This window comes from Homo sapiens, chromosome 4, assembly GCF_000001405.40.
Source record: "Homo sapiens chromosome 4, GRCh38.p14 Primary Assembly".
NCBI classification, from domain to species: domain Eukaryota; kingdom Metazoa; phylum Chordata; class Mammalia; order Primates; family Hominidae; genus Homo; species Homo sapiens.
In genome coordinates, this window is record NC_000004.12 from 149,273,040 (window position 1) to 149,281,351 (window position 8,312).

The 8,312-nt window shown below is 34.9% G+C and overlaps 1 long non-coding RNA gene across 1 annotated transcript in view; it reads left to right on the forward strand.

Moving 5' to 3' along the window:
• Positions 1-5,084, forward strand: part of LINC02355 (long intergenic non-protein coding RNA 2355) — a 123,829-nt gene extending 118,745 nt beyond the window's left edge. Inside the window, exon 13 of the long non-coding RNA NR_125887.1 lies at positions 4,826-5,084. This is a non-coding gene — a long non-coding RNA (long intergenic non-protein coding RNA 2355). The remainder of the gene's footprint in view (positions 1-4,825) is intronic.
• Positions 5,085-8,312: the final 3,228 nt, after the last annotated feature.

Consider the following 8,312-nt stretch of genomic DNA (forward strand, 5'->3'; position numbering starts at 1 on the left):
AGTGCCATTGACCACTAATAAAAGACAGTTTTGCTCTTTTGGAGATTGCCTATTATTTACACAAAGAAAAGTAAATGGCCACTGAGCTGGGACTTAAACTCAGCCCTGTTGGGCTCCAAAATGTTAAAATATAGATTTAAAGAATAAGAAAATAATAATATAACTGGCTGAGGGTAGACATTGAATCAATTTTTAAAGGTTTAAAAATTGTTATATATATGGTTGTAAAAATGACAATGTTAATTTTTGGAAAATAAGATATGTGACATTGTGAGAATTTTAAAAACCAGAATTATAATCTTAGATTACATGAAAATAAAACCAAGATTTGAGTGAGAAAGTAAAGTATGGTAATGTTTTCATTTTGCATCATAAGGGTTATCACAAAAATGATTTTGTTCTTGATATTGATGAAGCACTTAAAAATTAAATACCCTTCTAAATAAATTGTGGGTTATTAAATATACCAAACTGAATTTATCAAATATATAAAGAATGATAATGACGATACTATATATTAAAATCTATGGAACCTGGTCAAAGCTGCAATTAAAAGCAAATTTACACCATGAAATACTATGACTAAAATGAGGAATGAAGATTTGCAACAAATGAATTAACAAATAGTTCAAAAGAAAAAAGACGTAGGGGTTAAGATATACACAGAAGTGAATGAATATAGGCAAAATATGGCAGAAATCTATAAACAAAAGAAACTTTTCATTGTGTCATTCAAAGCCATTTCTATAGATGTTAATAAAATATGGGATTATGTTTGAGATCACTTGATTTAAAATATTGAATATGTGGACCCCTTGAAATTAATTTTAGAGGTTCTATGGAGCAATGCAAATAAAAACATTTTCACATTTCAATACAGTTAAAATTGAGGATGAGTTCTCACCTAATCCTGAGGACAAATGAGATAGTCTGCTGTCAAATAAAGGCTACGAACTTCACTTTGGGAGCCCATCAGGATAACTAAAAGAAAAGTTCATAATTGTACAAAGCAACTGGAGCTGAGGCATAATGAGTGATGCATAGACTTCAAGACAGGAGAAATATGCCATTTGTGTTAAGATATAATAGACATATAAAGAAATAGGCCATTTCAATGTAAGTATAAAATAACAAATCATAAAGACAGGATCAAGAACTATAAGGAGTCTGAGATTTTTATCCTACCTTCAAACTAGCAAGTTAGCCTATCAGAGTTCCATGGATGATGGCAGAAGATGCAAGACCCAAAGGACTTTATGAGTTCCATGTTTGCATCAGTTCCCATTGCACTCCAAGTCCTACTGGGGAGATGTAGAGTGGGCCAGATGGATGCTGTGCACACAGTGGATTTACTTCACAGCTGAAGAACACTGAGCCAAACCCAAATCTTTTATAATGGGCTGCCATGAAACCTGCCTGACTTTGGTTCTAAAGGGAGATATTCTTTATTTTGCTACACAATAAACAAATCTCACCGCTGTTTCAGAGGGAGACATTATCTCTATTTTTCAAAGCTGTTTGCTGTATAAACATTCTTGAAAAGATGGTCCTGAACAAAGGTTCCCTGTACCTATGCTAAAAAGATGTACAGAAATGAGAAAGACCTATAGAGAATTGGCTTTGAACACTGACAGATGCTCTAAATTACATATACTGATTGGTAATTGCTCGGCAACTTATCTGTACAACTCAGTGTGACATGTTTCAGGGTAAACAGAAGCCAAGATTTATTTAAGAAATAGTTCATGATTCTTTAAGCAACTCTGCCAGTGGTATATAAATCCAAGGGTTAATTATTTGAATTTTTTTAAAGGAATAAAATAATCTAAGCTAAACACTAGCTGGATGGCCTGAATGAAAAGTGAAAAACACAGAAAATTGGAAAGCATGGAAGGTATGCAAGGAGGTCTTCATAAAGTTTGTGGAAAATTGAATTAAAAGATAAAAATTAAAAACATATACTATTTTTCAACACAAACTCCATCAAGATCAAGACACTTTTATAGGCAATGATACCACCCACTTAGTCTGTCTCTAAATAACTGATGTCCTAGGAATTTAGTCATATCAATGTATTCTATTTTACATTACTAATTGAAGAAAAAATGGGTGCCCTTTGAAGATGTTTTTAAGATTAGGAAACAAAAAGAGGTCAGAACAAGCCAAATCAGGAATATAATGTGAATGCCTAATGATTTCCCATCAAAACTCTTGCAAAATTGTCCTCATTTAATGAGAGGAATGAGCAGGAGTATTGTCACAGTGCAGAAAGACACTGGTGAAACTTCCCCGGGCATTTTCTGCTAAAGGTTTGGCAAACTTTCTCAAAACACTCTCATAATAAGCAAATGTTATCATTCTTTGGCCCTCCAGAAAGTCAACAAGCAAAATGCCTTGAGCAACCCAAAAAACTGTTGCCGTGAGCTTTGCTCATGACCAGTTCACTTTTGCTATGACTGGACCATTTACACCTCTTGGTAGCCATTGCTTTGATTGTGCTTTTTTTCCAGGATTGTACCAGTAAAGCCATGTTTCATCTTCTGTTACTGTTTTTCAAAGAAACGCTTCAGGTTCCTGATATCGTTTGTTTATAATTTCCATGGAAAGCTCTACTTTTGTCTGCAGTTGCTCTGGGTGCAATGGTTTTTGGCATCCATCTAGTGAAAAATTTGCTCAACTTTAATTTTTCAGTCAGGATTGTGTAAACTGAACCAATTAATATGTTTATGGTGTTGGCTATTGTTTCCCTTGTTCAATGTCAGTCATTTTCAAATAGGGCACAAGTAAGATTAATGTTTTCCTCACAAATTGACGTGAAAGGTGTGCTGTTAAAAGACAGATAACCACAGATAAAAAGATCACAAAAAGATTATGAAAAATTATACATATAATTAAATGATAATGTTGATACAATGTGTAATTTTCTCAGAAGACATAATTTATTTAATTTTTTGGCATTTAACTCTTTAATCCACCTGGAATAAACTTTATTATATAATAAGATGAAGCATTTAATTTCTTAAAAGCATGAGTATAGCAAATATCCCAACATCATTGATTATATAATTTATCATTAATCTACTTATTTGAAGAGTAAACCATAAAAAAAGAAAATAGCAAACAATAGAGATAGTAAAACATAAATGGTCAATAGATCTGAATTGTAGTTTTCTTACTGTCTATCCTACCATATGAGATGATGTATGGTAGCACTTAAGAGTTCAGAACCAGGCGCCTAACTTCCTAGATAAGAAATTTGGCCTGCCTCTAAGTAGTTGAATGACTTAGGGCATATTCTCTTACCTCTTAACCTTTCTGTACCTCCAGTTTCATCCAATGTAAAATAATAATAATTGTACATACCCTTAAAGAATGAAAACAGTGCCTGATGCAAAATGCTCAAAGTAGTAACTATTATTATTTTTTACTATATTTATAGAGCACAGTGAAACACAGCAAATAAATCTAGATGGCAAAAGAAAAAAAAGTTTGTAACATATCTGAGAGGCAGAGTATATAGCTTTAATTTGTGAAGAATGTACAAATCTTTAAGAGAAAATCAAAGACACTGACAGAAAAATTGCTAAGCAACATAAGCATCTAATAAGCACACATGAACATACAGTGGAAAAGAAAGCATTTAAATATTTCATGTCACTGACACTAAAAATGAAAATGGAAACAACCATATTTTTATCCTATCAGATTGCAAAGATTAAAATATGTAAAAAATATAAGCACTCTAATATACTACTAGAAGAAGAATATATATACTTCCATGTCTATCAACTTCCTGGAGGAAATGTGTCAGTATAGATCAAATCCTTAAACCTTTTAAGAAGAAACCCTATAACTTTAAAAGTATTGCAATGATAAAATCTAATGTCTATAATGTTGTTTCCACATCATCATAGTGTTATTTATAACAGCAAAACATTAACAATGACCTAAGTGCCCAACAGTAGAGCAACAATTATGAACATTGTGGCACATCTACAGAATACTTTGTGCAAGGCTGGAACTGAGATGAGGCAAGAGAGATGCTCAGGTCACAAAATGTAAGGACTCACTCTCATCATTGTCCAAATGCTAATACTGTAGAGGGTGAGCGCTGCCTTAAATGTTGCTACCGAGATACTTATTTTGCCTCACCCTTGCCCAGATCCTAAATATGGGGCTATTTAAAACAACATTATAAAATATTATCTAATGATTGAAGCTCATATTTTTATATACTTCTAATGCAAAGATCCAGGCTAGGTGTATATACAGAAATATATTATTTGCCGCAATCTAACTTTTCTCCTATTTGTTATTTCACATTTAATTTCTTGCTATAACTTTTTACTCTGCTGAATAGTGTTATGATGACCCTCTTTGTATATAATTCTTTCTGTATATTGTAGGTTATTTTATTTTTGTTTGTTTCTTAGAATTGGAATTATTGGTCAAAGACTATGAACATTTTTCAGAACTTAGATAAAAGTTGATGATAGCTTTTCAGAGAGACTCTGAATTTTTACACCCTCAAGTGGGCAATTTAATTCTTGAAGGCCTCCAGACCATGTGTCACCTCTTCTATGGAAGCTCAAATGCATAATAAATTGGGGTTATTTCCTCAAATCATCAATTCTATTGAACCTTCCATGAGGGCAAGAACTTGGCTATGTACATTTTTGTTTTCCATGATGTGCTTCGCATGTTCAGAACATGTTAGAAGCTTCCTAGGAGCTAGCTGATAAATAATACCTCAAGTATAATTTTCTATCATAGTTTTATAGACTGTTTAAACCTATGAGTTTTTTTTTTAATCTTCTGGTAGCAGCAATATGAATGGAGGCTGGCCAGAAGTCAAGGGAAGACAAAGGATCCAGCTGGCTTCAGCAGCTCCTGTAATGCAGCACAAGTCACAGTGTGGAAAATGCAGAGAAATGGTAAATTACTGTAGAAAGACAGACTGCCAGGCTACCTTGATTGCCACTGCACTGGGATTACATACAAACTTTATTGCACAGGTCATATCGATAATTTACTAAATTGAAATTTGAGCAACAAAAGATTAAAAACCACTTAAAAAATAGAAAGAAAATAATTCTGACTCTTACTTACACTGTCAAATATATTAGAAAAAGAGGCAGTGCTCTGAAATGTTTTCACGAGAACAGCCTCAATGTCCAAGTAGCCATGTTTTTACTCTCAGGCCATATCTAAATTGACCTCAAGATACTCTACTAAAATATTATCTAATTTTTAGATAGTTTAGATAACATAGACAGTTACTGTGGTCTTCCTGTCAGGTAACATGAGATAATATTTATAGTTATCTGTTTTGAAATTTAAACAAAATAGTTTTGTTTTCCTGCCAATATAATGGGGATTTCCATCCAATTGATTAGGTCAGTAATCTATGTCTGCTATTTAAGGCAGGTATGAACACAGTCAATAGTGTCACAGCCAACATTTTCTTAGTCATGAGGATATGGGCTGTGAAATCACATTAAATAACTTTTTGGGCTTCTTGTGGGTGGTGATTTGGGAGCAGATGGCAATGAACTTGGCAGCTAGAATTTGCAGTGTGAGGGGCAAACTGACACACAGAACAAATATTATTACATTGTCTGTCCTCTCAAACCCTAGATTAAAAAAATGTATAATATTTGGCATTTAGGCCAGGTACAGTGACTCACACCTGTAATCCCAGCACTTTGGGAAGCTGACGTGGGTGGATCTCTAGAATTTAGGAGTTAGAGACCAGCTTAGGCAACATGGTGAAACCCTGTCGCTACTAAAAATAGAAAAATTAGCTGGGCATTGTGGTGCATGCCTGTAATCCCATCTACTCAGGAGGCTGAGGCCCAAGAATTGCTTGAAGCTGGGAGGCGGAGGCTGCAGTGAGCTGAGATGGTACCACTGCCCTCCAACCTGGGCAACAGAGTGAGACTCTTTCTCTGTTTCTTTCTGTACCTCTTTGTGTCTCACTCTCATATCTATGTATTTATAAGGAAACTCTCTGTTAATCCAAAGGGGTCTACCTGTGTTTTTAAAACATCAGGAAGTCAACAATAGTATTCCCTAATAAACATGGAGTAGTAGGCCCATTTGCAGTGTGACTTCGGTTTTATTGATGGACACCGTAAAATTGAAAAAAAAAAAAAAGTCCAATGTCTATTTTAGTGATTTACCCAGAGACAGTTACTATAATCTTCCTGTCAGGTAACATGAGGTAATATTTATAGTTATCTGTTTTGAAATTTAAACTACCAGCTACTGTAGAATGTTCATGTCTCCTTTAGTAGAAAACCATTTCGGACAACACAAACAAAATGAAGCGATCTTACGTGTTTTCTCTTTTGGTCCCACAACACTTAGATGGGTCAGGCTTTCTTGGCAGTGCTGTCTCCAGCCGTGGTGGCTCCAATCTGGCTATATAGGAATAGCACTCATCAGAATCGTGCACCACCAGCTGTGCTGTGTTTCCATGTCTGGTCTCCAGGGTTCCGTTCTGATTGTGGTTAACCCTACTGGTTGTAGTGCAAGTGCTCTCCACATGAATTATGAATGGTTTGCCTTGTCCATTTATCATCTAGACTCTGCAGGCCACCTATGCCTGTCAGAAGTAGGCAGGTTACTACTTGTAAAAGGCTGTAAAAAATAACTTACTACATCAAAGAAAAGATGACATTCTCTGCGTGTATTTTGTGTCATCCAGCTCTGGGTTTTCCACTTGCCCTCATTCAAGTCCATGCAGCTTTTCTTTCTTTCTAGCCAGTGAGGAGGTTTTGCAGTGGGAAATCTGACGAACATGAAATGTGCTGCATGGAAAAAGTCAGAAGTCTTGAGTCTGAGTTCTACTTGAGGATGTGAGCACATTTATGCAATCTGGACCTGCATATTCATCTAATGAATTCAGTTTAGAAATTTGGCTCCCATCACTACTTCCTAAAAGAGGTGGAGTGCCAAGAGGGTAGCAGCTGAGAGGGGAGGGACAGAAGGCTGGAGAGTGGGCGAGACTAATTGGTCTTTTCGTATGACACAGATTAGATTATGTCTGTCTAAAGTTAGGAGGGGGAAGGGGGATTTAATCACTGTTTCTACCAAAAAGATATAAGGCAGAACGTCCTCACAGAACCAGATGCAGGGAGAGAAGCACAAGCTTCTTGACAAGAAAGCAGGCAAAACTACATGTAAGGCCATTTAAAACAGAAAGATATGACATTTCCCTTTCCAATTAGATAAGGGGAATTGGAAACTAGAGCAGCAAAGCATAATCTGATAAGTATTATGACAACTTTTGATAATTCAATAAAAGACATAACAGAACTTTTCTTTGCTAAATGAGCCAATAGATTTTAAAAGAGCAAATGAGATTGTTGGGGCTGTAGGGAGTATTCTAATAACAATGAAAGATCGACTTCCCAAGAAATTAGGAGTAAACATTTTAATAAAAATTACTAATATTATTAACTGTGAATTATTCTCATCTCTCAATAGAGTAGGCAATCCTAGGATTTCTAAAATAAAATCACTATTATAATTTAAGTTACAGTATGTACTATAATGTGAAACTGTATTTTTAAGGGAATACTCAGCACATCAAACTCAGAACCTGGGCTTATCTTTCCTTCATGTGCTTTTAATATTTAAGGGGCTCCTGCATGTTGGCTAAATGAATCAAGTTTCTAAAAAAAGAAAATCAATGTATTCATTCTCAACCCTTTCTCCTTAATCTTGTGGTTCTTCTGACCTATTCCTTCCCTTGGATTTTTCTTTCTGCCTTTTCTGAGATACTTAGCCCCTTTCTAGCAAGTTCCATTTATTTCAATAAGAAAACATGGGGAAGAAATAGCAAGTGTTGATTTGTGACTAAAAGATTCGTTTAGATTACATGTAAGTTCTATAACATAAGCTTTTCCCTAGACTCTGGAAATTGAATGAAATAGATATTTCCCACTGGTCATTATCTTTGTTGTCTCTGGCCATTGGCCATAGTTAAATAAACCTCCTTGGGTTTGTCTTACATACCACATCGAATATCCCAAACACCCCTCATTATTAAACCCAGCTGTGAGCTAACTAATAGTACCAAAATAGATTTTTCTCTCCTTTTAACTGTTGGGAAAACATATACCAGAGTCATAGTTTCCTGTAAATAACCGAGCTTGTTCTGTAATTTTAGTAAATAATCTGTAGTTTTGTAATGGGAATTTTTTTTTAATTGGAGGACTTAGTTCGTCATATTGCATTGTGTCAAAGAACTTAAAGCTCTTCTCTAGTTGTAAAAGAAGATTTCTGAGGGCTTTCCTTACTCAATA